Source organism: Homo sapiens, chromosome 19 (assembly GCF_000001405.40).
Source record: "Homo sapiens chromosome 19, GRCh38.p14 Primary Assembly".
NCBI classification, from domain to species: Eukaryota; Metazoa; Chordata; class Mammalia; order Primates; family Hominidae; genus Homo; species Homo sapiens.
In genome coordinates this window covers 49,906,825-49,934,704 of record NC_000019.10, presented here as the reverse complement: position 1 = coordinate 49,934,704, position 27,880 = coordinate 49,906,825, and the positions used below count along the sequence as shown (strand labels likewise).

Genomic DNA, 27,880 nt, shown 5'->3' with positions numbered 1-27,880 from the left:
GTCTCATTATGTTATCCAGGCTGATTTCCACCTTCTGGGCTCAAGCAATTCACCTGGCAAAGCCTCCCAAAGTGCTGGGATTGCAGGCGTGAGCCACTGCACCCACCCTGTTATCTTTATTACTGTCTTTTTCTTTTTTTTTTGAGATGGAGTATTGCTCTGTCGCCCAGGCTGGAGTGCAGTGGCGCAATCTAGGCTCACTGCAAGCTCTGCCTCCTAGGTTGAAGTGATTCTCCTGCCTCAGCCTCCCGAGTAGCTGGGACCACAGGCGCCCGCCACCACACCCGGCTAATTTTTCATATTTTTAGTAAAGACAGGGTTTCACCGTGTTAGCCAGGATGGTCTCAATCTCCTGACCTCGTGATCTGCCCACCTCAGCCTCCCAAAGTGCTGGGATTACAGGCGTGAGTCACCACGCCCGGCCCTCCCCACCTCCCCCCCCCTTTTTTTTTTTTTTTTTTTTTGAGATAGCGTTTCAATCTTGTTTCCCAGACTGGAGTGCAATAGAACAATCTTGGCTCACTGCAACCTCCGTCTCCTTGGCTCAAGCGAGTCTCCTGCCTCAGCCTCCCAAGTTGCCGGGATTACAGGCACACGCCACCACACCCAGCTAATTTTGTATTTTCAGTAGAGATGGGGTTTCACCTTGTTGGTCAGGCTGGTCCTGAACTCCTGACCTCAGGTGATCTGCCCGCCTCAGCCTCTCAAAGTGCTGAGATTACAAGGCCGCCTCTCCCCAGCTGCTTCTCTCAAAGACAAGATGCACAAGCCAGAGGAAATGTTTCGTTTTATTTTTGCTCATAACCTCCCAAAAAAATCAGTACCCCGCCATCCCTCACCCAGACACAGCCCCTCTCCAACACCTTCACGAAACACTGATTTTTTTTCTTAGAGCTAAAATGAACACCCAGTCACCAACTACAGCCCTGCCCTGCCCCTCCTCCCACTGGCCTGCTCATCTTCCCGCACTGCAAACCTGGCCGCCTTTAGCCTCCCTCCCTTAGCGTAGTGTCCCAAGGTCACCTAGCCTGCTTTTTGCCTGTAGGATATGGGTCCCCTTCTCAAAGCCCGCCCTGACTTACTTCCTCATTTGCATAGTCCTTCAGCTCTATCCTGTCGCCACTCCACCCACCCCAGACAACCACCTGTAAGAAACCAGGTTTGAAATTCAAGAGACCAGGTTTCCAAGCTCCCAGCTGCTTCCCTGTGGGCCTCGGTGCCTCGGCTGTTATGTGACGGGCATAGACATTGACTAAGGCCAAACATTTCATGATTTGGACGAGAAAGGAGGGAAGGAGATCCAGAAATACGCAAGAGAGGTGATAAGCAGAGACAGAGGATAAAAGGATAAGAGTAGAGAGGAGTTGGGTGGTTTGGTGGGGAAGAAGGGTTGATTTTTTTTTTTTAATAGAGACAGGGTCTTACTATGTTGCCCAGGCTGGTATTGACCTCCTGGCCTCAAACGATCCTCCTGCCTTGGCCTCCCAAAGTGCTGGGATTACAAGCATAAGCCACTGCACCCGGCCGAGAGGGGTTTGGAATGAAGGTAGAGGCAGGGGGATGAAGGCGCCAGAGCTGAAGACCAGCCCCCAGAAGCCACACCCCTGCCCTTCTAGCAGCTACGGGTCCTCTGGCTCCGGGCCTTGTAAACCTCGATGAGCAGGTCCTTGACGTACTGGATCTCGCGCTCCACGGACTCTGCCCGTTCCTTCAGCTCGCGATTCCGTGCCTCCAGCCCCTGGCACTCGCCCTCCAGGGCCTCACCCTCTGCCCGCTTCCGCTGGCGGTACCTCAGAGCCGCCGACTTGTTCTGGTCTCTCTTCTTTTGCTTGCGGTCCCCTCGGGTGGTGGCAGGATGTGGGTAGGGGGCCAGGCGAGAAGGTTGAGGTGGAGAAGGAGGAGGGGGCTGCTGTGGCGGGGGCAGAGGCGGCATCCCCACTTCCTCCTGCCCGGCCTCGTTGCGGCAGTAGATGGCCAGCAAGTCCAGAGTATCCAAGACAGGGGGCTGGGGGAGGTCAAAGGAGGGGAGGGACAGGGGGAGGGAGGGGGCTGGTGGTAGTGGTGGTGGTGGTAGTGGCGGCGGGGAGGGTGGTGGGAGGGGCGGGGCATCTAGGAAGAAGTCTTCCATCTGTTCCAGCTCCTTCTTGAGGAGGGAGGCCATAGCTTCCAGGTCAGGTGGGGTTGGGGAAGGTTGGGGGAGGGTGCCGGGGGGTAAGGGAGGCTCCAGAGGGAGGAGAGCTGTGAAATCAACTCGCTCAGTCATCCAGTCAGAGAAGCCATCACCTGGGATTAAAGTGGGGAGGGACACAAAATTCCCTGAGTTGCTGGTCTTCTGCGTAGTTGGGTGCTGACTCACGTCTCATTCAGGTGCATCTGTCCCATTCATTCAGTAAAACAACTAACCACTGAATCATCAAACCAGTCAATAAACCAACAAACCAGTGAAGAAACCAATAAACCAGTCAACGAACCAACCAACAATCAACCATCTAACCACCCAGTCAACCAACCAACCAACCAACCAACCAATGAACTAGTCGACCAATCAATCAGGGAATCGGTCAACCAACCAAATAAATCAGTCAACCAACCAATCAACCCATTAATCAACCAATGAACCAGTTAACCAAAACCCAACAAATTAGCCAATGAAAGAATCAGTCTTAACCCATAAGAGGGTCCAGGAGAAAAAAAAAATTAAAAAAGAAAAAAAGAACCAGCCAACCAACCAATGACTCAAGCAACAGTCAACCAAGCATTTCTTCAACCATTCCAACATCTCCTTTACCGAGTACTCTGTATCTGTGGTGTCTCTATTCTCTCTTTTTAAAAGGCAAACTAGATCACATTACACACACAGATACACACGCACATATGCCTTGTTTCATCTTTACTCATTAATTATTGAAAACCCACTATGTGCCAAGCATTTGGGATACAGTAATGAATGAAATGATTCCTGCCTCCTGAGGGCTTCTGCATATACAGTTCCCTCCAACTAAAATGCTCTTCCCTTGGGTGTTTTCCTCATTCCTTCCCTACTTTTTTTTTATTTTAAGGGATAGGGTTTCACTCTGTTGCCCAGGCTGCAGTGCAGTGGCATCATCTTGGCTCACTGCAGCCTAGACCTCCCAGGCTCAAGCGATCCTCCCACCTCAGCCTCCCAAGTAGCTGTGACTACAAGCGTGAGCCACCATGCCTGGCTAATTTTTTTTTTCCTATAGATATGAGGTCTCGCTATGTTGCCCACGTCCTGAACTCCTGGACTAAAGCAATTCTCCCCGCTTGGCCTCCCAAAGTGCTGGGATTACAGGCCATCATGCCTGGCTTCCTTCCCATCATTTATGCCTCAGTCAACATGTTACCTACTTGGAGAAGGTTTTCTGGCTACCCATTCTATATTAGGTCCCCTTTGTCATTTTGTAGCTCAGCTGCTAGGTGTTTTTGACTTATTCCAATACACTCTCATTTAATTTATCTCTGGTCTACTCCCCACAGTGTGAGCTGCTGGAAGGCACAGACCATGTTCTTCTTGTTCCCAGCCGTATCCTCAGCACCTAAAACAGTGCCTGGCACATTGTAGGCACTCAATATTTATTGAATACATGGATGAGTTCTTCCTCCCCCATCTTCCCCTGCCCTCCACTCCCCAGCTCCACCTTCCACCTGCCCTTACCTGCCAGGGGCTCTCCCCCCACTGGAAGCCCGCCCTCCAGGGCTCCCCCAAGGACCTCATAGGGAGCCAGGGGGGCAGGGGCCGGGGGGAGTTTCCCATAGTCTACGAGCCATCCCAGCCCACTAGCTGGGAGCAGGGCCCTGTCCAGCTCCAGCCCCAGGGTCGCCAGGAGTGACATGGCTGTAGCACAGGTGCTGGGCACTGATGGCAACAGGAGAGGCTGCACCAGCAGCTGGCACGAGGCTCTGGAGGATGCTCAGGTGGGCGAAGACAGGCACCAAGGCGAAAGTGGAAGACCTACACGCGTGAGACAAGAGTGGGTGTGGTCAGGACAGCGTCATCCACCGGCCAAAATCAAGGGGAAGCCAAGCCACACCCCCAGGCACGTCCATGAGGCTCCTCCCTCCCCCTTCCAACCACCGTTTAGAACACTAAGCCTCAGCCTCTCCGAATTCTAAATTTGCCCTTTCTTTACCCAAATCTCTGAGCCCCACCCACTCCCAAGGGAATTTCTTTAGGTCCTAAAGTAGGACCGATGCCCCACCCCTTCCCCCAATACAGAAAAAAAAAACCTAAAGGTCTCCCAGGGGAATTACCTTAGGCCCCTCCCATCCACCTCAGAATATTTCGCCTCAAGGAAAAACTCAATCCCAGGGACATTTTCTTCCAGCCACGCCCCTTCCTCTAAAATATTTCCTTTTGGCCCCACTGCCTTCCTAGCTTCCATCCCAAACCAGTTCCCAGGGGAACTGCCCCAGGCCGCAGCCCTTCAGCAATGTTATCCACTCAAATCCCACTCCTCGCTCTGCCGCTGCCCCTCCAAGCCCCGCCCCTCATTGTTTATTTAGCTCCGCCCCTCCCCCGATTCCCCAGAGGCCCCGCCTCTTTGTCACATCGAAACCCCACCCCTCAACTAACGGTTGGTTTAGCCCCGCCCCTTCTCACAATGTGCTTCCGAAATCCCACCCATCGTGACGACAGTGGTTCTATCCCCACCCACTTAGAGGGTTGCCTCTGGGTCCCGCCTTCTGCCCTGTCAATCTAAGCCAGTCCCCGCCTCAGCAGGTGCCTGGTTTAAAAGGAAGGAAGCTGGGCTGTGAGCCAGAGCAACGTGGGGCAGGGAGGGTGGAGGAGGGTAGAGGGGGCACGCGGAGAACGGCTACCCGAACGCCACCCGTCCACACGCGGCTCTGCGCCGAGGGCCAAGGCGCATGCTACGTCGCCCGAGCGGTCCAATTGCCTTTACACCTCCGCCCTCTTGGGGATCAATGCGCATGTGCGGCCATTCAGGGTCCGCAGCTCTTTCACTACGGGGCACTGGTGGGCTACTGCGCAGGAACAACCAAGCACGAAGAATCGTTTAGAAAAAAAAAAAACACACCCTCCCCTGGAGTGCTCAGGCCCAGCTGCACGCGGGCTGACAAACATCGAGTCTAGAACTCTCCCACCCGGCCCCGGGCCCAGTGCGCATGCGCAGCCGCGCGCCTTCGGCCCACCGTACTACTTCTGCGCCTGCGCGACCGTGATTCCCCGCTCGCGACTCCCCACCCCCCAGGGCTCCCTAAAGAGGGCCACGAGCTGCGAAAGGGCGGGAAAGGCAGTTGGAGAAGAGGTAAGCGGTTACTCACTCCATGGCTGCAGCAAGGAGAGGCGGCGGCGGCCTCGGCTGAAGAAAGAAGGTGGGAGCGGAGAGCGCAGGCGTGGTGAGCGCGGAGACGGGCCGGGGGCACAAAGGGGTCGAGGCTACAGAGCCATGGCCGGGGCTACGCAGGCAGAGGCGGCGACACTGTAGTGAGAAGAGACTGTGATCCGAGGACAGGGAATGAGGCGGCCCCGGGGACTGGGGACAGATATATACTGGGTGGCGGAGCACGGCCCTCCCGGATCCTTCCGCGCCCCGCCCTCGCGCGGCCCCAACCGGGAGGCAGCCGGGTCCCCTCCTCCTGGGGATCAGGGGATCCGAGCCTTTCCTTCCCACTCCTAGGGTCCGGGACCCTCCTCCCTCTCAGCTGGGGATCCGACCTCTTCCCTCTGAGCCGGGGATCCAGCCCTCTCCTTGTGGCTCCGGGGTCTGGTTTCCTCCTCCTGACTCTAAGCTCTGGTTTCTTTCTCTTTCTGCCTCTGAGGTCTGGGCCTGCTTCCTCCTGTGATTTTGAGGATCCAGCCTCATTCTCTTCCCGCAGACCTGCACCAGTTCATTTCTCTTTCCCTTTCCTTGCTTGCAGAATTTCCTGCCAGTCACTTTTCACTTCTTCATCCCCCAGCTGCTGACTCTGAGAAACCCTCGTGGGTTAGAGTCCAGCATGAGTCACAGCACTCTCCCAAATACAGACCTGCCAGGATGGCCTCGGGCAAATAACTTAAGTTCTCTTACTTCATTTCCCTATCTGTAAAATAAGAAAAATCAACTCGCCTGGTGGGTTTATGAGACTCAAATAAGACGATGTCTGGCAAGCCTTATGCACAGAGCTCAACTCATACATTCCTGTTCAACTGTTTTTTTTTTTTGAGACGGAGTCTCTCCGTCTCTGTCGCCCAGGCTGGAGTGCAGTGGCGCGATCTCGGCTCACTGCAAACTCCGCCTCCCAGGTTCACGCCATTCTCCTGCCTCAGCCTCCCGAGTAGCTGGGACTACAGGCGCCCGCCACCACGCCCGGCTAATTTTTTGTATTTTTAGTAGAGACGGGGTTTCACTGTGTTAGCCAGGATGGTCTCAATTTCCTGGCCTCGTGATCCGCCCGCCTCGGCCTCCCAAAGTGCTGGGATTACAGGCGTGAGCCATCGCTCCCGGCCTCAGCATATTTTATTAATAGGAACTCTGGGGCCCAGTCTCATTTCTTCCTTACCACTTGTAAGAGCCGCAGACGTTGGACTGTCCAACACCTGCTGTCATTCTTCTGTCTCCCTCATCCCTCTAAAGTGTCTGTTTCCAGCTATCCTCATCTTCCATTCCAAATGATGGGTGCCCAGGCCCCATCCCCTGGCAGGGATTCAGACATCGAGGCCCCAGCTGCGTCCTTTTCTCCATCCCTTGCCCTTGGCTTCCTTTCAAACCGTCCTTCAGCTTCCACTGGATAGGAACTATCTCCCAACCCTGCCAAAAATGGAAGATCTCCGTTTTCGTTTAGTCACAGGGTAGCCATCTTGCCCCTTCTCATGCACTGGGCCCTCCTCCACCAGCCGAGGTGGATGTCCGTCTTTTCTCTGTTGCAGAAACCCACCTTGTCCCATCCACATCAGGACATCCCAGCTGGAGTTCAACCTTCATCCCTTCTGTGGCAGTTAGGAGACTGAATCAAGGTCCAGAGAAGGTGGAGGAATCCTGATACTGAGCGGTACACACAAGCTTCTTTCTCCTTCCTTACCTGTTGCGGGCAGGAAGTCCTTCTTGGGATCTGACCACCTTCCCTTAGAGCACTTACTGTCCACTCTGCCAGTTTTTGAGCACTTGCCCTATATTTTCTTGGGCCTATAGGGGCTGTGTTATCACTGAGGCAGTATACAGAGTAGCAGCTAAGAGCATAGACTGAGCTTGTCCCACCCGTGGGCCTGCATGCGGCCTAGAACAGCTTTGAATGCAGCCTAACACAAATTTGTAAACCTTACCAAAACATGCGAATTTTTTGCGATTTTTTTTTAAGTTCATCAGCTATCAATAGTGTATGTTATGTGTGGCCTAAGACAATTCTTCAATGTGGCCCCAGGAAGCCAAATTTTATACATACCTGGCATAGACTCTGGAGCCAGATTATATGAGTTCAAAACTTGACTGCACCCCTCTTACTAGCTGTGTGACCCTGGCCATTTCCCTTCCCTGTGCCTCAGTTTCCCCTGTGGTACGAAGTGGCATTAAGAATACCTACCTCTGGACCAGGCACGGTGGCTCATGCCTGTAGTCCCACCACCCTGGGAGGCTGAGGTGGGCAGATTGCTTGATCTCAGGAATTCGAGACCAGCCTGGGCAACATGGTGAAACCCTGTCTCTACCAAAAATACAAAAAAATAGTCGGGTGTGGTGGTTTGCACCTGTGGTCCCAGCTACTCATGAGGCTAAGGCAGGAGGATCACTTGAACCCTGGGGTGGGGCGGAGGTTGCAGTAAGCCGAGATTGTGCCACCACACTGCAGCCTGGGTGACAGAGTGAGACCTCGTCTCAAAAAAAAAAAAAAAAAAGTACCTACTTCTTAGGGCTGTTACAAGGATTAAATGAGTTAATCCGTGTCGAGCAGTTAGACTAACGCCTGGGACACAGTAGGTGCTGCATAAAAGTGGTTATTGTTATTGCTGTAATTAAGGTGGATGTGTTCTCATTCCATTGCTGTATAGATTTTTGAACAAAAGCAGATGGAATTAAGGGTAGACTGTTGGGCAGACTGCCAGTGGTAAGGACGCACAGACGTGCCCTATCTCCCCCGCCCCGCCGGTAGAATCTTTTCCTACGAAGATCTTCTAGATTGTACATGGGGACTGGGTTTGGTTTGGTTTGGTTTGGTTTTTTTGAGACAGAGTCTTGCTGTGTCGCCCAGGCTGGAGTGCAGTGGCATGATCTTGGCTCACTTCAACCTCCACTTCCCAGATTCAAGCAATTCTCCTGCCTCAGCCTTCCAAGTAGCTGGGATTACAGGCGCCCACCACCACGCCTGGCTAATTTTTGTATTTTTAGTAGAGACGGGGTTTTGCCATGTTGGCCAGGCTGGTCTTGAACTCCTGACTTCAGGTGATCCACCCACCTCGGCCTCCCAAAATGCTGGGATTTACAGGCATGAGCCACCACACCCAGTCTTAAGCAAGACCTAGCTTTTTTTTTTTTTTTTTTTTTTGAGACAGAGTCTCGCTCTGTTGCCCAGGCTGGAGTGCAGTGGCACCGTCACAGCTCACTGCAACCACCGCCTCCCAGGTTCAAGCCATTCTCCTGCTTCAGGCTCCAGAGTAGCTGGGATTACAGACATGCACCATCATGCCTGGCTAATTTTTATATTTTTAGTAGATACAGGGTTTCACCATGTTGGTCAGGCTGGTCTCGAACTCATGACCTCGTGATCTGCCTGCCTCAGCCTCCCAAAGTGCTGGGATTACAGGTGTGAGCCACCGTACCCAAGGGGGTTATTTTTTAAATAAAATTTTTTATTTTGGAATAATTGTAGATTGACTCAACAGAAAAGTTGCAAAGATAATACGGAGAATTTCTGTATGCCCCTCACTTGGTTTTTTCCATTAACATTTTACATTACTTTGCCACATTTGTCACAACCAAGGCAACATCAGTATGTTACCATTGACCAAATGCCATTCTTGATTCTGACCACACTTGATGCTGATTTTGGTAGTTGTTACTTAATGCCCTTTCTGCTCCTTCCGGATGCCTTCAGGATGCCACGTTATATTTAGGCATCATGGCTCCGCAGCCTCCTCTGGCCTGTGACTGGTTTTAGACTTTCCTTGTCCTTCATGACCTTGACAGTTTGGAAAAATGCTGGTTGGGTATTTTATGGAATGTGCTTCCATTTGGTTTTGTCTCAGACTGGGATTGCGGGATATTGAGAGGATGGCCAGGTAGGATGCTATTTTTTTTTTTTTTTGGCTTTTTTTAGTAGAGATGGGGGGGAGGGTCTTACTATGTTGCCCAGGCTGGTCTTGAATTCCTGATTCCTGGGCTCAAACGATCCTCCTGCCTCACCCTCCCAAAGTGTTAGGATTACAAGCCTGAGCCACTGTGCCCGGCCTGGGTTTTTTGTTTTGTTTTGTTTTTTAATTTTTTTGGTTTTTTGAGACGGAGTTTCACTCTTGTTGCCCAGGCTGGAGTGCAATGGTGCCATCTCGGCTCACCGCAACCTCTGCCTCCTGGGTTCAAGAGATTCTCCTGCCTCAGCCTCCCGAGTAGCTAGGATTACAGGCATGTGTCACCACACATGGCTAATTTTGTATTTTTAGTAGAGACGGGGTTTCTCCATGTTGGTCAGGCTGGTCTCGAACTCCCGAACTCAGGCGATCCACCCGCCTCAGCCTCCCAAAGTGCTGGTATTACAGGCGTGAACCACCGCGCCTGGCCCGGTGTGGGTAATTTTTAATAGCTTGGTCAGTAGGAGAATTGCATTGCTGGCTATGTGCGGTTTATGCTGGCTGCAGAGGTGTCTGGGCAGGGACTCTGCTTCCCCTCCCCACCGTTTTGCCGCCTTTTCTCTCTAGCTATTGGGTCCCACCCACTTCAGCCCAGCCAGACTTAGCAGCTGGACTCAGGGTGAGTGGGTGCCAGTTGGCACCCTTAGCTCTCCAGCCCCTCCCAGCCTGTTCTAGTTCATAGCCGGTCATCAGTGGTTGCCTGCGACCCTTCTCCCCAGATCTTCGAACCCTGAGTCCCCTCGTGTGCACATTCCTGACCCAGGCCTGTGGCCCCTTCAGGACTCATGTCCTGGCCTCCCCCAGCCTCGAGCTCCCCTTCAACTCCTGAGCTGGGGCTTGAAGCAAGGGTGGGGCTACTGGGGACTCTTTTTCGGTGCGGAGGGGCCTGGCTTGGGGAGTGAGGCGGTGGTTGCAGGCAGGTTGCATCAGCCCTGGCTGTTTGACGGGGACGGGGAGTTCGGGGATTCTCTGGGGACCCCAGCACACCTGGCAACCGCTCCCGGTTAGCAGAGCCTTGGATAAGGGAGAACCCCCGCACAGCAAGAGTAGGGGTGGTGTGGAGAGGGAGGGAGATCAGCCACCCGTGCAGGACCCTGAGAATCTGAGGCTCGGTGCCAAGAAGGGGCCTCAGATCACAGAGGCTTGTTAGCAGGAGTCAAGACTGAGGTCCCGAGAGGTAAGGGGGGTTGTGAAAATCACAGTGCCAGTTAGATGGGACCTCAGCCTCCACCATGCTGCACAGCTTCCAGGGCCCCGAGGCCCATGGTGTAGTCTCTGGGAGGTCTCCAAGCCCTGACCCTCACCTCAGGCCTGCTGCTGCTCACAGTTGCCAGACGCTATCGATTCCTGCCTGCACCTGCACCGTGCCATCGCCCTGCTATTGCCGCAACTCCTCACTGCTTTCCCAATCACGGTGGCCTCCTGGCATGATGGAAAAGGCTCCGAGTTTTGCATCAGACAGACCGGGGTTCTGGTCCTGAGCCCAGCACTCAGTTGTAGACTGGAGTGCAGGCAGGGCCCTCATCTGCCGAGCCTCGGCTGCCTTCCGCAGCGTGGGTCAGAGCATGGGCCCTAGAGCCAGCCTGCTGGGTTCACACCCCAACTCCACCACTTCTGTGACCCTCAGCAAGTGGCATCCTCTTTCTATGACTCAGTTTCCCCTCCGTAAAATGGGGATGAGATGGTCCATTGCAGACGGTGGTTTTGAGGATTAAATGTGTAAATGTGCGTGAAATACCTAGAGTGGGGCCTGGCATAGGGAAATGCCCTGTGAGCAGTAGTTCCTGCTCTGGGGCCTGGTGTGGGAGCGCTGTGGAGATGGCATCAGTGAAGCCGGCGGCTGCCAGAGCCCGGGTCTGTGTGTGATTCTCTCTGTTCTCGCCACGCCTGCTTCTGCTTTCAGATCCGCCGTGTGCAGATGTCTGCCTACGTGACTGCTCCCCCGAACGCTTCGAGGGCAAAGTCAGGGCCCTCCTCATTCCCAGAAACGTTCCCCACAACCCCCCGCCCTGTGCTGCTATTTCCGTAGGCATCAATACATTTTCTAATGAGTTGCTCAGCACAGAGGCCAGCGAATGTGATACTGAGGTCCCTGAGAGGAGCCAGGGAGGGTAACTGGGTCACGCAGGCCAGGGGTGCCGGGGTTGAAGGTGGGAGTCCTGGCAAACAAGGGCAGGTAGGCCAAGGCCAGCTCAGTTGGGGAGAGGATGACGCGGGGGCTGGGAGACAGCACAGGCTGCCACGTGGCCCACAGTCCTCCAGAGCCCCTTCCCTCCCTTGTGCCTGCCCTTGTCCCTTCAGTAGAAGCAGTCACAGCTCTTATGCAAAAAAAAAGGGACACAGCAAACTGATAACAACTGACACCAGTGTCCTAGAGCCCAGGATGCCATCACTCACCGCTTAGTGGTCTGGGACAAGATACTGTACCCCCCGACCTGTGGTCACCTCATCAGTAAAATGGGCACAATCATAGAACTACCTTGGGGCAGTGTGGAGGGGCAGGGGGTTGACATGGGAAGAGGCCTGGACCGGTGAACTGCTGACCACCTTGGGCCCTGTGTCAGGCCCAGAGGGAGGGGTGGCTCCCAGAAGCACCTGGGCCCCTGAAAGGCACCGGGGCCGCAGCAACACTGGCAGCGCTGGTGGTGCAAAGCTGCTGGTTTCACGGGAGAAGCTGGAAATCCAGTTTTTTTTTTTTCTGTGAGATCCAAGTTTTAAAGGTAGGCAAGTAATTCAGAAAAACCTGGAAAACCCCAGCAAACCACCAGTGTGGACAGGACTCAGGCTGCTGGCCCTCTGTGACTTCCCCTCCCCACAGCTGTCATCCTCTCTGTCCACAGCAGAGAGCAAAAGGAACCCAGCCCTCATTCCAAGAGTCTCCGAGGATTGAGGCTGGTCCCCTCTGTGCTGGACTTTACAAGCAGTGAGACGGAGTAGGGCTTCATTCCGACACAGCCCGGTCCCATGTGAAGGAGGGGAGGACAGTGTTTCTGGGGAGCAGAGGAGGAGGCCTAAAGAATCCTTCCTGAGGTTCAGGATGCCTGCTGGAAGTGGGGCTGGTGTCTTATTACTCTCTTCCTAATCCCCATGCCCCCAGCCAGAGGCCACCAGGAGCACATTGCTCATTGCGGCAGGAAGACTGTCCCCCACAGGGACTCGCAGGGCACCTCAATAAGGAGGCGTTTGGGCTAACTTGAGGAGTTGGGCTGTGTCAGGGGCAAGCCCATGACTCGCATCTATTTGACCTAGAGCCTGAGAAGCAAAGGGAGCTAGTGCCGCCGGGGTTAGTTGAGAAACAGCCAGCAGCTCTGAGTCAGGAGGGGTGTTTGGTCGTTTCTGTGGTTTGGACATCATGTTGTCTGTGTTGAGGCGTGATTCAGGAGTGGGCTTGTTGTCTTGGTCCCTCGTGGTCGTGGTGGCCTGGCCTGGGGCCCTAGGGCCCTGCCGTCGGGGCTGCTTTCTCGCAGCAAATGCACTCATCCTGCCAAGATGGAAGGGAGGTGAGAGCCACCGCTGTGTCCAGAGGAGGCAGCTCCTGCATTCGTCTGGCCCAGGATATGTGGTTCCTACAGGGTTGCTTGGGCACGGAGGAAAGTACCCGGGCTTGAGCCCAGCCAGCACTCATAGGATGGATGGTCATGGTCGGAGCTGCGGGGAGAGGCAGAGGCGGGGAACCATGGTGGGAGGGCCTCACGGGACCCCTAGGCTCCCTAGGTGCCCCCTCAATGGGCAGAGGGGTACCCCCCATGGAGAGTTTTGAGGTCAGCGGCCATCAGAGCGCCAGGCCTTAGCCCAGTTTGATGCAGACTCCTTTGCCCTCTTCTTCCTGACCTACCACAGAGCAGGAACGTATGGGGGTTGGCGAGCAGCGGACGCCCCTCTCTTCCCTGCAGGCGTCTCAGGCCATCGTCTGCAGCTGGGGCGGGCGGATCATCCTGAATTGGATTTGAGAGTGAAGCCCAGGCTGGTCTGGAAGGTCATGGAGATGGCCCAGGAAGTCTCTGGAGAATGGGAAGGGGGACTGGATGAGGCAGGGGACGGTGATGGTGGTGGCAGTGGGGAGCAAAAAAAGACCATGTTTTGGAGAGGCTCGGTGCGGTTAGGAGCTCAGCTGTGGGGCCAGACACCTGGGCCAGCCCTTACTGGTTGTGGGACTTTACGCAGGTGACTGAAGTCCTCTCCCCTTTCTCAGTTTGCTCATTTATAAATGGGAGCCATGATAGTTTCGCTTCGTCACATTGCTGGGGGAAAGTTAAGTGAGTGAGAACAGGTGAAGCCCTGGAAACAGCCCAGCGCGTGAGAAATGCCATGAAATGTGGGTGTGGAGATGTCCGCCGAGGCAGGAAGGGGCTGTGTTTGCTTCCAGTTCTCATAATGAAAGCCACCCTGCCCCCATCTTCTGGCTGCCTTCACCTGGTTCCCAGAGAAACCTCCATAGCAACCGTCTCCACCACAGCCCGGCCTGGGCCCTTCCCTCCTTCCCCCACCAACATCACTGCCTCTCCCCGGGGAAGCTGATGTTGACAAGAAGAGGGGCTGCGGATGGGGCACAGGTGTGCGCCGTTCCTCCCCCGCCACACACGCCTGTCCGCTGCTCTCAGAGTCCCTCAGCCCTGATGCCTCAGTCCCTCTCCAGGCCTTGATGTCCTGTGCCTGCACCGCCAACCAGAGCGTTTCAGCTCTAGGCTCTTCCCCAGCCTGTTCTCAACCAGCATTACCGGCCACCCCAAGGAAGGCATGGGCCTGCCCTTAGAAACTCTGCCCGAGCCGTTGCCCTCGGGGTAAAGTCAGCTCTGAGCCTGACGCCTATCCGCCTCCACAGCCTCATGGAGGCCTCTCAACCCCTTCCCAGCACCCCCTGGTTGGTTGGTTGGTCGGTTGGTTGGTTGAGTGGCTTTATTGAGATACTGTATAATCCATATCCATTTATCAGTGTCCAACTTAGTGGCTTTAGTACGTTGACAGAGTTGTGCAGCCATCACCACAGTCAATTTTAGAACATTTTCATCACGCTAAAAAGAAACTCCTAGGCCGGGCATGGTGGCTCACGCCTGTAATCCCAGCACCTTGGGAGACCGAGGTGGGCGGATCTCAAGGTCGAGAGATTCATACCATCCTGGCCAACATGGCGAAACCCCGTCTCTACTAAAAATACAAAAGTTAGCTGGGTGTGGTGGCACGCGCCTGTAGTCCCAGCTACTTGGGAGGCTGAGGCAGGAGAATAGCTTGAACCCGGGAGGCAGAGGTTGCGATGAGCTGAGATCACGCCACTGCACTCCAGCCTGATGACAGAGTGAGACTCCGTCTCAAAAAAAAAAAATTAGCTGGTGTGGTGGCACACATGTGTAATCCCAGCTATTAGGGAGGCTGAGGTGGGAGGCCCACTGGAGCCCGGGAGGTTGAGGCTATGAGCGTGATTGCACCACTGCACTCCAGCCTGGGAGACAGAGTGAGACCTTGTCTTAGAAAAAAAAAAATTTTTTTTTAATGCAGTAGGTAGAGGGGAAAAAACTTTCAATACAAGAGTAAGAAATAAAAGTTATTGGCCAAAAAGGAAGAAGCCTTGGCACCAGAGTATTCCTCAAATCTCTTCCAGTCCTTTTATATTAAGAGCAAGCGGTGGTTCTAGAATCTTCCTTAAAATCTCTCTCTGGCTGTTTCCTAACTTTTCCATGGTTGTCTTAGCTGATTCGTTTTTCCTGTGGGGAAAATTGCTGTTGGTCCTGCGACCAGAGCTCCTTTGGTAGCTTCTGGGCCTGGGGAGTGGGAAGGAGAAAGTAGCTGCTAATTAGCCGTCAGGTGACTTCAGGGGAAAGCAGGAGAGAAGGTTGAAAATCAGTGAATCCACAAATCATTTAGCTACTGCCTTGAGGCCATCCTGTGTAGCAAGTGGCAGAGGCAGGATTTTGGTACCCTGGGCAAGTCGCCCCCTCTGAGGGCCTCGGTTTCCTCATCTACCCGGGTGAGGAGAATAAGCCTGCTTAAAACGATTTCTAAGATACATAAAGAACAGTAGAGAACAGTGCATGTAGCAGGCGGCCTTTTGTGTGCAGGTGGGGATAGTGCCAACCACGCTTTTGTTTAAACGCACAGCAAGTCTCTGCAAAGATGTGCAACAGCAGCCTGTCTCCAGGGAGCAGGGCTGGGAGGCTGTGGGACTCAGGGAAGACAGGCCACACTATTCCCTTTTGTACCTTTTGAGCTACAACAATGTGAACATACTACCTATTCACAAAATGAGTTAGTTTGTTTTTTTGAGACCGAGTTTCACTCTTGTTGCCCAGGCTGGAGTGCAGTGGTGTGATCTCGGCTCACTGCAACCTCCGCCTCCCAGGTTCAAGCAATTCTCCTGCCTCAGCCTCCCGAGTAGCTGGGATTACAGGCATGCACCACCATACCTGGCTAATTTTGTAATTTTTTTTTGTAGAGATGGGGTTTCTCCATGTTGGTCAGGCTGGTCTCAAACTCCCGACCTCAGGTGATCCGCCCCCCCACACCCCGCCCCCCCCCCCCCAGCCTCCCAAAGTGCTGGGATTGCAGGCGTGAGCCACTGCGCCCGGCCTAGCTTTTATGTCTTTAAATGCCCACCAATGTCACTGGGTTGTGGCAGGGTGGTGCGGCCTCCTGGGTAGTGAGCACACGGGAACATTTAGGCATTGAAACATCTGAACATGCAGTAAAAGTTCCAGTGACAGCCTGGGGAAGACAGCTTGATCCATCACAGCTTCTCCCCCGAGGAGCTGACAGACACACAGCCACACACACCCTGTTCCTTTGTCTCCACACAGGTCCTTAATGCAAGTCGGTTATGCCTGTAGGTTGAAAGGCATCAGGGAGGAAAATGGGACCAGAATGCCAGGTGACCTAAGGAGGAGAGAGAGAGGACAGTTGAAAACCCACAGGTATCCCTGTCCCTTCCTCCCTCCCTACTATTGGGGATACCTGGTTCTGTGGAGGAGAGGTGGCCTTTTGGTGGAGGTGAACATATAGGGGTGGGAGAGGGGAGCTCTTCCATGTCACAGATTTGGCTTAGAAAAGCAACCCTCGCTGGACGTGGTGGCTCGTGCCTGTAATCTTGGCACTTTGGGAGGCAGAGGTGGGAGGATGGCTTCAGCCCAGGAGTTGGAGACCAGCCTGGGCAACATAGTGAGACCCCATCTCTACAAAAAATCGAATATTAGCTGGGCATGGCGGCGTATGCCTGTAGTCCCAGCTAACGGGAGGCTAGGGCAGGAGAATCATTTGAGCCCAGAAAGTCGAGGCTGCAGTGAGCTGTGATTATACCACTGCACTGGATGACAGAGTGAGACTCTGTCTCAAAAAAAAAAAAAGAAAAAGGAAAGCAGACCCTCTCCATGGCTTTGGGTTTTTGTTTGTTTGTTTGTTTTGTGTGTCTGTTTGTTTTAGACAGAGTCTCGCTCTGTCACCCAGGCTGGAGTGCAGTAGTGCGATCTCGGCTCACTGCAACCTCCGCCTCAGCCTCTCGAGTAGCTGGGATTACAGGCACACACCACCACACCTGGCTAATTTTTATATTTTTAGTAGAGACGGGGGTTTCACCATGTTGGTCAGCTTGGTCTCGAACTCCTGACCTCAGGTAATCCACCCACCTCGGCCTGCCAGAGTACTGGGATTACAGGCGCGAGCCACCATCCCTGGCCCACTCTGTTTTCTACCAATGGGGTTGGCCATACCCCAGGCAGGGTAGTTATGTAAGAGAGCAGGACAGGAAAGCCCAGGCCACCGCCAGCTCCCGCCAGGCGACTGCAACAGTCTCCTCACTCCTCCCACACAGAGTCTCGGTGAGTCTTTCCCAACATAACCCAGACCCTGACCCACTCATGGTCTCATGCTCCCAAGGCACTCTGGTCTGGCCATTTGGCCTGGACCGCTTGAGCATCTGCCTTGGCTAAGGTCCACTTAGGAAGGTGTTGGTCAGTTGACTTCAGTTCTTGAAGGGCAGACTTGGAGCTGATCTGTTATTCAAGGTTTAGGGGGATTTTCTTTGACGCAAAGGAAAGAGGAACTGATTCAGGAGACGGTTAAGAAGCAGAGTAGTTAGACTTGTGGAGTTTGCAGACGGAGAATCCCAGCACTAGCACTCATGGAGATGGTCCTGGCCAGAGGTTCCCACGGGAGGGCAAGTGAGGGAAGGCAGTGTTGGAGGACGGCGTCTGAGCCTCAGCAGGAATCAAATTTCCCTGGGCTGAGCCCAGCCCATCTCTGATCTCCCCTTGTTTCTCTCCTCTCCACTCCCTCACTCTCTGCTCTTTTCTGCCCTGTTCTGGTCTCTCTGGTTCCACCGGTCATACTTCCCCCAAATCTGAAATAACGAATTCCATGGGGAAAGGGGAGGTCCCACGGAGACAGCTCCGCACCCTGTCCGTCTTGCATCTGGGCTCTGCGTTGTCAGCAGTGCCACCAGGTGGCTGTCAGCCGAATGCCATGGGCCTTTGTTCAAGTGCCTCCCAGAACTTTTTTATTTGTTTGAGACGGGGTCTCGCTCAGCCGCCCAGGCTGAAGTATGGTGGCATGATCACAGCTCACTGCAGCCTCAAACTCCTGGGCTCAAGTCATCCTCCCACCTCTATCTGGGATCACAGGCACACGCCACCATGCCAGGCTAATTTTTGTTTTTTTGTTTTTGAGACGGAGTCTCGCTCTGTCTCCCAGGCTGGAGTGCAGTGGTGTGATCTCGGCTTACTGCAAGCTCCGCCTCCCGGGTTGATGCCATTCTCCTGCCTCAGCCTCCCGAGTAGCTGGGACTACGGGCACCCACCACCACGCCTGGCTAATTTTTTTTTGTATTTTTAGTGCAGACGGGGTTTCACCATGGTCTGGATCTCCTGACCTAGTGATCCGCCCGCCTCGGCCTTCCAAAGTGCTGGGATTACAGGCGTGAGCCACCGCGCCTGGCCTAATTTTTGTATTTTTAGTAGAGATACAAAAATACAAAAGATACCGGGAGGCGGAGCTTGCAGTGAGCCAAGATCCCGCCACTGCACTCCAGCCTGGGCGACAGAGCGAGACTCCGTCTCAAAAAAAAAAAAAAAAATACAAAAGATACACCATGTTGGCCAGGCTAGTCTCGAACTCCTGACCTCAGGTGATCCACCCACCTCAGCCTCCCAAAGTGCTGAGATTACAGATGTGAGCCACCACACTTGGCCAACACTTAATTCTAACATCTTTTCCTCAATGAAACTCTCCCGTCCCAGGCAGAATGTCAAGACTTGGCCCTGGAAAGCTCTGGTTTCCCATCATGGGTCTGCTGTTTGCTGGGTGGCCTTGGGGAGTCTGCACTTGTTTCCCACCCAGGAAGGGCTCGGTGTGCTGCAGTGCAGTGCTCTGGCACGGTGCCGGTTACACAGTAGGTCCCTAGTAAATGGTTGTTACTGAGTCCCTACTGTGTACCAGGCACTGCTGCAGGTGCTGCGAATACAGCAGGGAACAAACGGAAATCTGGCCCAGTGGAGCCGACACCATCCCCACCGTTAGCCTTCCTCTGTGTTCGGAGGCAACCTTGTCCTTCCCTCCCATCATAGATGGCCTATCGTGGCTGGGTGTCAGTGGCAATCCACCCACACACATCCACAGTCCTGGCAGGGTTGCCCCAGCACCAGGGGATGTCTGGATTTTCAGAATCACACCTCACTTTCCTTTCTGTACCAGCCGCCTTGGTCTCCATGCACAAGGGCAGACCTGCCCCTGACCCCAGCCCCTTTCTCAACCCCAGCTCTGCTCTGTGTATTCCCATCCACCTATCTAGATTTCATTCTGTTCTTTCTCCATCGTCCCTCAACCTACCGCCATTGGTTTCTAGTGGCTGCTGTAACAAGTCATCACAAATGTAGTGGTTTAAAGCAACACGAATGTATTTTCACAGTGCTGGGGGTCCAGAGTCTAAATGGGTGCATGGTGTGTAGTTCCTCTGGGAAACTCTAGGGGAGAGGCTATGTCCTTCTTTAGCTCTAGAGGCCGAAGCCGCCTGTGTTCCTTGGCTTGTGGCCCCCTCATCTTCAAAGCCAGCAGCACAGTGTCTCTCAGTCCATTCTTCCATAGGCACATCTCCCTCTGACTCCTGCCTCCCTGAAGAACCCCTGTGGTCACCTGGGGCTCACGTGGATAAGCCAGGGTAACCTCTTTATCTTCATCACATCTGCAAAGTCCCTTTGCCATGTAAGGTCACATTGACAGGGTCCTGGATCAGAGTGTGGGCATGTTTGGGGGCCGTTTTTCTGTCTACCCCCCCACACACATAGCACACATCCTTCCTAATTCTTCCTTTCCTTTTGGTCCAAAGCTGAGGTCTCCTGTATTCTTTCCCAGGCACAGACTCCTGTCCCAGGCATCTAAGGAAAGGGGTTGGGGGCCGGGCACAGTGGCTCACTCCTGTAATCACAGCACTTTAGGAGGCCAAGGTGGGCAGATCACCTGAGGTCAGGAGTTCAAGACCAGCCCGGCTAACATGGTGAAACCCCGTCTCTACTAAAAATACAAAAATTAGCTGGGCATGGTGGTGCACGCCTGTAATCCCAGCTACTCGGGAGGCTGAGGTGGGAGAATTGCTTGAACCCGGGAGGCGGAGGTTGTAGTGAGCCAAGATCGCACCACCACACTCCAGCCTGGGTGGCAGAGCAAGACTCCATCTCAAAAAAAAAAAAAAAAAAAAAAAAAAAAAAACTGGGACTTGGAGTGGCACAAGAATCACAGATGGAGGTAAGGTAGTAGAGCTGACCGAAGGCTGGGGTGACAGCAAAGAACCCTGGTTCTCACAGATGGGGGTGGGATATGCCCACCTGAATTCAGATGATTCCGCATCTGAATCCCAAGCGGGTCTTCCTCCGGGTTCCCAGGGCTGTGAAGGCGGCCGTGTTGTTTGAAACTCAAGGGTAAATGTTGGGGCAGGCAGGCAGGAAGGGAAGGGACTGGCGGCTCTGCCAGCACTTTCCTTGGTGACCTCAAGGCAGCGCTTCTCTGGAGCTGTGTCCTGCCTGGGTGAACTACAGATGGTCACAGCCACCCAGCCCTGAGCACAGGCCCAGGCATACCCTCCTCCTTTCCCTGGAAATGCAACACTCCCTCAGTTTGGGTTCCTCCCTGCTTCCTCCACCGCCACCAGCACCATCAGCTTCTTTGGTAAGGAAACTCTCCCCTTTGGCAAATGTGGTAATTCCGGGATCAGAGCTCGTAATAGTTTGCATTTGTGAGAAACTTCCCAAGTTCTAGTATTTGTGGCTTTTTGTTTTTTGTTTTTTGCCTCAAACTCCTGGGCTTAAGCAATCCTCCTGCCTTGGCCTCCGAAAGTACTGGGATTACAGGTGTGAGCCATCATGCCTGGCCTGTCACTGTTAACCTGGACAGACCCTGTGGTTTTGGTGCAAATTTAACACTTTGCTCAAATTGTGATGCTGTCCTCTCTGAGTTCCAGTTCGGGCCTCAGGCTCTTGGCCTGGACCTTCTCCCAGTCTTCTCTAAGCCACCTGGCCTCCAGCCTCTACCCCTACGGTTCATCCCCCACACCCATAAAGTCCGCCTGTGGCTCCCTCAATATAACGCCCGAACCGTTAGCATGGTATGTATGGGTCTGCCAGATTCTCCCGCCTGTCACGTGGCCCACAGTCCCCAAGACCACCCTGCGGCTCAGTGATGAGCTAAGACTCACAGAGCTCAGCAAAGCTTTCTACTCACAGTCACGGTCACGGTTTATTATGGAGAAATGATACAGACTGAAAACAGCAAAGGGGAGAGATGCAAAAGCCCCAAGGGAGACCAGGCACGAGCTTCCAGCTCTCCTCTGCAGGTAGAGAGAGTCCCGCGGACAGTGCTCAGTTCTCCCTGCAACAGCGTGTGGTAACGCTTACGGAGCAGTGGCGGCCCGGGTTGTGGGGAGGACATGGCGCACCCGTGTGGCTGAACTGAGGTCTGCTGACTCCAGCCCCTCCAGAGGTCGTGCTGATACTGTATGACCCAAAGCCCCCACTCTAGGTCACAGCGTCAACATGGACTCTCTAGAGTGGCCTGGGGCCCCAGGTAAACAAAGGCGCTCTTATCTGGCAGCACATTTCAAGAACATAGAGATTCTCCTGGAGCTGGTCAAGGGCCATTTTCTCTCTTTGGAATGTGCAGATTTGAACAGCCCAGGCTTGCCAAGTCACTCCTTCACACATAAACATCTCCCTTCAGAAGCACCAGATCACTTAGCACCCAGAGGCATGTCTGCTGTGTGGGCCTCCCTGTCTTCACACAGGCCTTTCCTCCCGCGTGGACGGCGCCTCTCCCCCGCCATCCTTTCCCTGGCTGATGCTGCATCTGCAACGCTCAGCTTCTCCCTGGAACCTGCTCCCACAGCATGTGGCCCGGCCCTGTGCCTGCCCTGAGCCCTGGTTGTAGAGCTGACATTTGACTCTGGCTGCCTTGAGGGCAGGGACCGTGGCTTAACCAGCCACTCTGGGCTTCACTTTCCTCATTTGTCAAGTGGATCTGCCCCAAAGTTTGCTTTGAGGAAACGGTGAGTAATGGTAGGTCTCCTTTCTTTCTTTTTTAGATGGGGTCTCACTCTGTTGCCCAGGCTGGAGTGAGTGGCACAATCACAGCTCACTGCAGCCTCCACCTCCCTGGGCTCCAGTGATCCTCCCATCTCAGCCTCCCAGGTAGCTGCGACTACAGGCGCCTGCCACCACGGCCAACTCATTTTTGTGTTTTTTGTGTAGAGACAGCATCTCGCTATGTTGGCCAGGCTGTTCTCGAGTTCCTGGGCTCAAGCGATCCCCCCACCTCAGCCTCCCAAAGTGCTGGGATTACAGGCGTGAGCCACCTCACCTGGCCATATCTAAACTGCGTGGATCAGGGCTGGATCAGTATGGGTTCACCATTGTGAATAGATCCCTGGCACCTGAGTATTGGAAACCAATGTGGCACTTAATAAATGGTGAACTGTTGGCCGGGCGCAGTGGCTCATGCCTGTAATCCCAACACTTTGGGAGGCCGAGGCAAGCGGATCACCTGAGGTCAGGAGTTCAAGACCAGCCTGGCCAACATGGAGAAACCCCATCTCTACTAAAAATACAAAAATTAGCCGGGCGTGGTGGCATGCGCCTGTAATCCCAGCTACTTGGAAGCTGAGGCGAGAGAATCGCTTGAACCCGGGAAGCGGAGGTTGCAGTGAGCCGAGATCATGCCATTCCACTCCAGCCTGGGCAACAGAGCGAGACTCCCGTCTCAAAAAAAAAAAAAAAAAAAAGGTGAACTGTTAAGCCAGACAAGTCCCCATAGAAGATTGTTTTCCTTGTAGTTTTTTCATAGTTGCAAAGAGCTTTTTATAAATGCTCTTCTTGGAAATTTTAGCTACAACTTATTAATAGCAAAAGCTTTTTTAAGCTGAGTTCTTGAGAACTGAGATGTGTAGGTGTAGCTGCTCAGATGCCTTTAGCTGCCAGTAACAACACACCGGCTTGAGGTGGCTCAGCAGTGAGGACTTTTGTTCTGTCCCACAACGGGAGGAATGGATGTAGGCCGGGCCAGGCCCCAGCAGTCCTGGGGGCTCAGGCACTTGCCGTGGCCTCTTGAAGAGACCTTTCTCAGAATCCCCCAGGAAAGCTTTATGAAAATGCCAGGGCCACAGCATCCCAGCCCCGGAGAGACTGGCTTAGTGGAGCTAACAGCCTTGTGTATTTTGAATGCTCCCAGTCAGTAGTGATGGACGCCCATTGAGATCTACTGGCTTAGACAAGGCAGAGCGTGTGCAGCTGGCCCTGGGGTCATCTCCCCAGGCTTGCTTGGCTGTGTGGAGAAGGAGGAGCAGACGAAACAAAACTTAGGGGCCTGTGAGGAAGCAGAAGGGTGCAGTGGAAGGGGTGGGGGTAGTGAGATAGGTTGCCTCTTACTCAAGCTGGAAGGGGATTTCCTGAGGACAGACACCAAGCAATTTAAAAACTGGCCTGGAGAGAGGGAAGAGGAAACAGACCTCGTGGGTGTTTCTCTGGGTCAGGCACTTGGCTTCTCAGTCTTGACTTTGATTATTCTTTTGTTTTTTTGAGACAGGGCCTCCCTCTTTCCATTTCCAGCTTTTAGAGCTGCTTCTGCCTTCCTTGGCTCCTGGCTTTCTCACATCTTCAGATTCCAAAGCGCATCACTCCAGTCTGCTCGTGTCACCACAAGCTTTCTTCCCTTCTCCAGTCAGTCAAATCCGTCTTCTAAGGATACTGCTGATCATCTTTAGGGCTCACGCCTGTAGTCCTGGCACTTTGAGAGGACAAAGAGGGAGGATCGCTTGAGCCCAGGAGTTGAAGACCAGGGCAACAGAGTGAGATCCCATTTCCACAAAAAATAAAAAAGATTATCCACGCATGGTGGCATGCACCTGTAGTCCTAGCTACTCTGGGAGGCTGAGGTGGGAGGATCACTTGGGTCCAGGAGGTTGAGGCTGCAGTGAGTTGTGATCATGTCACTGCATTCCAGCTAGTATGACAGAAAAAAACCCTTTCCCAAAAGAAAAAGAAACCACCCCTATTCAGCACTCCCTCTCACCCTTTCCTCACCAGGTAACCTTTGACCTTCCTGCTGATAGATGGCACCACTGGGAGATTTTTCAGTTAGACATTACCAAAATCAAGTCAGTTTGAACTGAATGGAAATACTGTGGCCCATGGGTCTTCTGGGGTGCTCTTTATCCCTCCCCCACCCCCACCCCCACCCATCTCTGGTGGGGCTCATGGTCTCCCGTGATGTCCCAGTGTCTGCAGATGGTTGAGAAGGTGTCCAAGGGAGGCCCAGGTGCAATCCTCCACACCACACCTACAGGTGAAGGAGGCAGCTGCCTTCCAAGCCTGGAGAAAACCCCAGGGGAGGCTCCGATTGCCTGGCTCAGGTCTCAGTTTATCCTTGAGCCAATCACTGCAGCCAGGGGCATCTGTGCTCTGAGCACATGGGTTTCAGACCCTCCCCTGAGTTAGGAGGAGGAGTTCCAGTGTCCTCTCCTGCTCTTAGAGAGTGCAGGTGTGGGCCTGGGGGGCCTTCAGCAACCCAGACCCTGCCATCCAGCCTGGGTTCCCGGCCCCATCTCTCTCTCTGAGGTCCAGAGAGGCCCTCAGGGTGGCAAGAGCTGATCCGCTCACACCCTGCTAGAGTCAGCCAGGGAACCTCACTGGGTCCCACGCTGGGAGCAGGTCCTACAGCTGTTCTTGTGTGTCCTAGTCCCGCTTGTGGCAGTGCCTCAAATCTGATCTCCTCAGGCTGAGGTGGGTCCAAGGTCCTGTTCTCCCGCCTCGTCCTCCACAGAGTGGGAGCTTTCCACTGGGCTGAACATGGCCACGCACGTCCCTAGCACCCCGGCTCCTCGTACCTGACCCCTGGGGCGTGCTTTTGTGCTTCTGGATCCTTCTCGATGTAGCAGAGCCTAGTTTAGGTTACACAGCATGCATCATTATCCCATCCCACCACCCTCCAAACCGACTGTGCCCAGTCATGCCACTGAGCTTGCCTTTCCAAAACTGCCATCTGACAATGTCACTTCCTCTGCTTTAGAAATCTTCCCAAGGCTGCAGACACCGACGGATTTGCTTTGGGAGCCAGAGTAGCTGCCGCCACCAGAGTCCGGAGCCATGAGCGGGTTTAATTTTGGAGGCACTGGGGCCCCTACAGGCGGGTTCACGTTTGGCACTGCAAAGACGGCAACAACCACACCTGCTACAGGGTTTTCTTTCTCCACCTCTGGCACTGGAGGGTTTAATTTTGGGGCTCCCTTCCAACCAGCCACAAGTACCCCTTCCACCGGCCTGTTCTCACTTGCCACCCAGACTCCGGCCACACAGACGACAGGCTTCACTTTTGGAACAGCGACTCTTGCTTCGGGGGGAACTGGATTTTCTTTGGGGATCGGTGCTTCAAAGCTCAACTTGAGCAACACAGCTGCCACCCCAGCCATGGCAAACCCCAGCGGCTTTGGGCTGGGCAGCAGCAACCTCACTAATGCCATATCGAGCACCGTCACCTCCAGCCAGGGCACAGCACCCACCGGCTTTGTGTTTGGCCCCTCCACCACCTCTGTGGCTCCAGCTACCACATCTGGAGGCTTCTCATTCACTGGTGGAAGCACGGCCCAACCCTCCGGTTTCAACATTGGCTCAGCAGGGAATTCAGCCCAGCCCACGGCACCTGCCACGTTGCCCTTCACTCCGGCCACGCCAGCAGCCACCACAGCAGGTGCCACACAGCCAGCTGCTCCCACACCCACAGCCACCATCACCAGCACTGGGCCCAGCCTCTTTGCGTCAATAGCAACTGCTCCAACCTCATCTGCCACCACTGGACTCTCCCTCTGTACCCCTGTGACCACAGCGGGCGCCCCCACTGCTGGGACACAGGGCTTCAGCTTAAAGGCACCTGGAGCAGCTTCCGGCACCTCCACAACAACATCCACCGCTGCCACCGCCACCGCCACCACCACCAGCAGCAGCAGCACCACCGGCTTTGCCTTGAATTTAAAACCACTGGCGCCAGCCGGGATCCCCAGCAATACAGCAGCTGCCGTGACCGCTCCACCTGGCCCTGGCGCAGCTGCAGGGGCGGCTGCCAGCTCCGCCATGACCTACGCGCAGCTGGAGAGCCTGATCAACAAATGGAGCCTGGAGCTAGAGGACCAGGAGCGGCACTTCCTCCAGCAGGCCACCCAGGTCAACGCCTGGGACCGCACGCTGATCGAGAATGGAGAAAAGATCACCAGCCTGCACCGCGAGGTGGAGAAGGTGAAGCTGGACCAGAAGAGGCTGGACCAGGAGCTCGACTTCATCCTGTCCCAGCAGAAGGAGCTGGAAGACCTGCTGAGCCCACTGGAGGAGTTGGTCAAGGAGCAGAGCGGGACCATCTACCTGCAGCACGCGGATGAGGAGCGTGAGAAAACCTACAAGCTGGCTGAGAACATCGATGCACAGCTCAAGCGCATGGCCCAGGATCTCAAGGACATCATCGAGCACCTGAACACGTCCGGGGCCCCCGCCGACACCAGTGACCCACTGCAGCAGATCTGCAAGATCCTCAATGCGCACATGGACTCACTGCAGTGGATCGACCAGAACTCGGCCCTGCTGCAGAGGAAGGTGGAGGAGGTGACCAAGGTGTGCGAGGGCCGGCGCAAGGAGCAGGAGCGCAGCTTCCGGATCACCTTTGACTGAGCGACAGCAGCCCTGGGGCCCGCAGGTCCCTAGGGAGTTCATGAGGGGAATGCGCCCTGTTGTCTGTAGTTTGGGGTTGTGGCAAGATACTTGTTTGTTTGTTTCTTTCTTTCACATGACTGCCCTTGACATGATCGCTGTGTGCTTTGCGTTTTTCCATTTAGGAGGGTATTCTGGGCCTTCTGCCCAGGCAGCAGCCTCATGGGTGTGGCTTCTGTGGCTTTCATTTGAGTATCTTTGGCCCCTTTTCACCTACTGCGACCACCCACCTCATCCTGGCTCAGCCTGGTGATGGAGAAGTGCTGATGGTCTTGGTCCCAGCCAGGGTCGTGGGGGCAGCCACTCTCTCCAAAGCATAGTCATAGGTGTCATGAAAAAATACCAAATGTAAGAGAACCTCCAAGTCAGGGCGCAGTGGCTCACCCCTGTAATCTCAGCACTTTGGGTGGCCAAGGCGGGCAGATGACTTGAGGTCAGGAGTTCGAGACCAGCCTGGCCAACATGGTGAAACCCCGTCTCTACTAAAAATACAAAAATTAGTCAGGTGTGGTGGACGCCTGTGATCTCAATCTCAGCTACTCGGGAGGCTGAGGCAGGAGAATCACTTGAACCCAGGAGGTGTTGCAGTGAACCAAGATCACACCACTGCACTCCAGCCTAGGCAACAGAGACTCTGTCTCAAAAAAAAAAAAAAAAAAAAAGAAACTCCCAGGAGACAGCAGCCTAGTTTTCGAGTGTGAGCTTGTGCTTGTGAAAGCTAACCATGCTAACCACCAAGGCAAAGCAGCACAGTGTGAATAGAACAGAGCGGGATCAAGAATTTCACAGAAGACAGGTCAGCTGAGGGGCCTGCACACACAGGGTGTTGAGGAACCACAGATGGGCGCCGAGAGGCCTGCCTTTTGCCTGGCCCAGGCTCACCCCCACCTTGGGCCTCACCTCCTCCAGGAAGCCTTCCCAGCTACCCGAAGCTCAGGTGGCCTTCTTGCAGGTCCCCGTAGCACCCTGAGCCTGTACCTTGGGTGGCACTTGTTATGCTATCCTGTGCTAGCCGTTTGTGCCTCGTCTCGCTGTTAGATTGTGAGTTCCCATGGGCAGAGACCCACTGTCGTTCCCCGTGTGTCCCCAGCCCGGTCCCTGTCACATTTGTTAAATGAAAGAACAATGAAGCCCAGTGTAACGTCAGTCCACAGAAATAGCCACAGCTTCCAGTGGTGGCCGTAGACTTGGCTCGGAACTTAGTGGCACCAGAGTAACTCTAGTCAGTTACAGTAAAATCCACTGTGTGTGGAAGGCAGAAGCTAGCGGTTGTATCCCAAGCATCTTTTGTATTTGTCTTTATACTTTGCTGAATTCTCTGAAATACCTATTACTGTATGTTGCTTTTCTAAATAAATGTATTGTGAAACCAAAA

The 27,880-nt window shown here is 54.2% G+C and overlaps 3 protein-coding genes and 1 non-coding gene across 14 annotated transcripts in view, besides 9 other annotated features; 2 read left to right on the top strand and 2 right to left on the bottom strand.

The window, feature by feature from the left end:
• On the bottom strand, positions 770-5,799 carry ATF5 (activating transcription factor 5). 4 transcript variants are annotated; one of them, NM_012068.6, is made up of 4 exons: positions 5,699-5,799; positions 5,305-5,462; positions 3,677-3,973; positions 770-2,283 (listed from the first exon to the last, which is right to left on the bottom strand). In NM_012068.6, exons 3-4 carry the CDS (start codon positions 3,852-3,854, stop codon positions 1,613-1,615), a joined length of 849 nt encoding a protein of 282 aa, NP_036200.2. In that variant the 5' UTR covers positions 3,855-3,973; positions 5,305-5,462; positions 5,699-5,799; the 3' UTR covers positions 770-1,612. The 4 variants fall into 4 exon arrangements, with proteins under 4 accessions (NP_036200.2, XP_011524931.1, NP_001180575.1 ...); XM_011526629.4 differs by lacking the exon at positions 5,699-5,799 and having other exon boundaries at positions 4,840-5,500; NM_001193646.2 differs by lacking the exon at positions 5,699-5,799 and having other exon boundaries at positions 5,305-5,500.
• MIR4751 (microRNA 4751) lies at positions 1,568-1,641 on the bottom strand. Its single transcript, NR_039906.1, has one exon. It is a non-coding gene; the product is annotated as a microRNA 4751 (primary transcript).
• Positions 4,711-4,760: a silencer, noted in NCBI's record as "silent region_10948". NCBI's record gives its function as "represses an Ori minimal core promoter by ATAC-STARR-seq in GM12878 lymphoblastoid cells {active_cell/tissue: GM12878}" and the evidence as "EXISTENCE:reporter gene assay evidence [ECO:0000049][PMID:35858748]".
• IL4I1 (interleukin 4 induced 1) overlaps positions 5,201-27,880 on the top strand; it is a 39,851-nt gene continuing 17,171 nt past the window's right edge. For 3 of the 4 annotated variants that reach the window (NR_047577.2, NM_172374.3, NM_001258018.2), the window contains exons 1-2: positions 5,201-5,379; positions 6,890-7,011. The gene's annotated coding sequence lies outside the window, so the exon portion shown is untranslated. The remainder of the gene's footprint in view (positions 5,380-6,889; positions 7,012-27,880) is intronic. The other variant, NM_001258017.2, reaches the window with a different exon arrangement.
• NUP62 (nucleoporin 62) lies at positions 5,201-27,880 on the top strand. Of its 5 annotated transcripts, none has more exons than NM_016553.5 (3): positions 5,201-5,379; positions 6,890-7,011; positions 24,821-27,880. In NM_016553.5, exon 3 carries the CDS (start codon positions 24,898-24,900, stop codon positions 26,464-26,466), a length of 1,569 nt encoding a protein of 522 aa, NP_057637.2. In that variant the 5' UTR covers positions 5,201-5,379; positions 6,890-7,011; positions 24,821-24,897; the 3' UTR covers positions 26,467-27,880. The 5 variants fall into 5 exon arrangements, with proteins under 5 accessions (NP_057637.2, NP_714941.1, NP_001180286.1 ...); NM_153719.4 differs by having other exon boundaries at positions 6,857-7,011; NM_001193357.2 differs by lacking the exon at positions 6,890-7,011 and having other exon boundaries at positions 5,201-5,288.
• Positions 5,611-5,670: a silencer, noted in NCBI's record as "silent region_10947". NCBI's record gives its function as "represses an Ori minimal core promoter by ATAC-STARR-seq in GM12878 lymphoblastoid cells {active_cell/tissue: GM12878}" and the evidence as "EXISTENCE:reporter gene assay evidence [ECO:0000049][PMID:35858748]".
• Positions 11,474-12,227: an enhancer, noted in NCBI's record as "H3K4me1 hESC enhancer chr19:50425735-50426488 (GRCh37/hg19 assembly coordinates)". NCBI's record gives its function as "activates a minimal SCP1, AML or CMV promoter by ChIP-STARR-seq in primed H9 embryonic stem cells {active_cell/tissue: H9 hESC(primed)}" and the evidence as "EXISTENCE:reporter gene assay evidence [ECO:0000049][PMID:30033119]".
• Positions 12,312-12,979: an enhancer, noted in NCBI's record as "H3K27ac-H3K4me1 hESC enhancer chr19:50424983-50425650 (GRCh37/hg19 assembly coordinates)". NCBI's record gives its function as "activates a minimal SCP1, AML or CMV promoter by ChIP-STARR-seq in primed H9 embryonic stem cells {active_cell/tissue: H9 hESC(primed)}" and the evidence as "EXISTENCE:reporter gene assay evidence [ECO:0000049][PMID:30033119]".
• Positions 21,434-22,285: an enhancer, noted in NCBI's record as "H3K4me1 hESC enhancer chr19:50415677-50416528 (GRCh37/hg19 assembly coordinates)". NCBI's record gives its function as "activates a minimal SCP1, AML or CMV promoter by ChIP-STARR-seq in primed H9 embryonic stem cells {active_cell/tissue: H9 hESC(primed)}" and the evidence as "EXISTENCE:reporter gene assay evidence [ECO:0000049][PMID:30033119]".
• Positions 22,934-23,243: an enhancer, noted in NCBI's record as "active region_14969". NCBI's record gives its function as "activates an Ori minimal core promoter by ATAC-STARR-seq in GM12878 lymphoblastoid cells {active_cell/tissue: GM12878}" and the evidence as "EXISTENCE:reporter gene assay evidence [ECO:0000049][PMID:35858748]".
• Positions 24,251-24,330: a silencer, noted in NCBI's record as "silent region_10946". NCBI's record gives its function as "represses an Ori minimal core promoter by ATAC-STARR-seq in GM12878 lymphoblastoid cells {active_cell/tissue: GM12878}" and the evidence as "EXISTENCE:reporter gene assay evidence [ECO:0000049][PMID:35858748]".
• Positions 26,068-26,789: an enhancer, noted in NCBI's record as "H3K4me1 hESC enhancer chr19:50411173-50411894 (GRCh37/hg19 assembly coordinates)". NCBI's record gives its function as "activates a minimal SCP1, AML or CMV promoter by ChIP-STARR-seq in naive H9 embryonic stem cells {active_cell/tissue: H9 hESC(naive)}" and the evidence as "EXISTENCE:reporter gene assay evidence [ECO:0000049][PMID:30033119]".
• Positions 27,431-27,550: an enhancer, noted in NCBI's record as "active region_14968". NCBI's record gives its function as "activates an Ori minimal core promoter by ATAC-STARR-seq in GM12878 lymphoblastoid cells {active_cell/tissue: GM12878}" and the evidence as "EXISTENCE:reporter gene assay evidence [ECO:0000049][PMID:35858748]".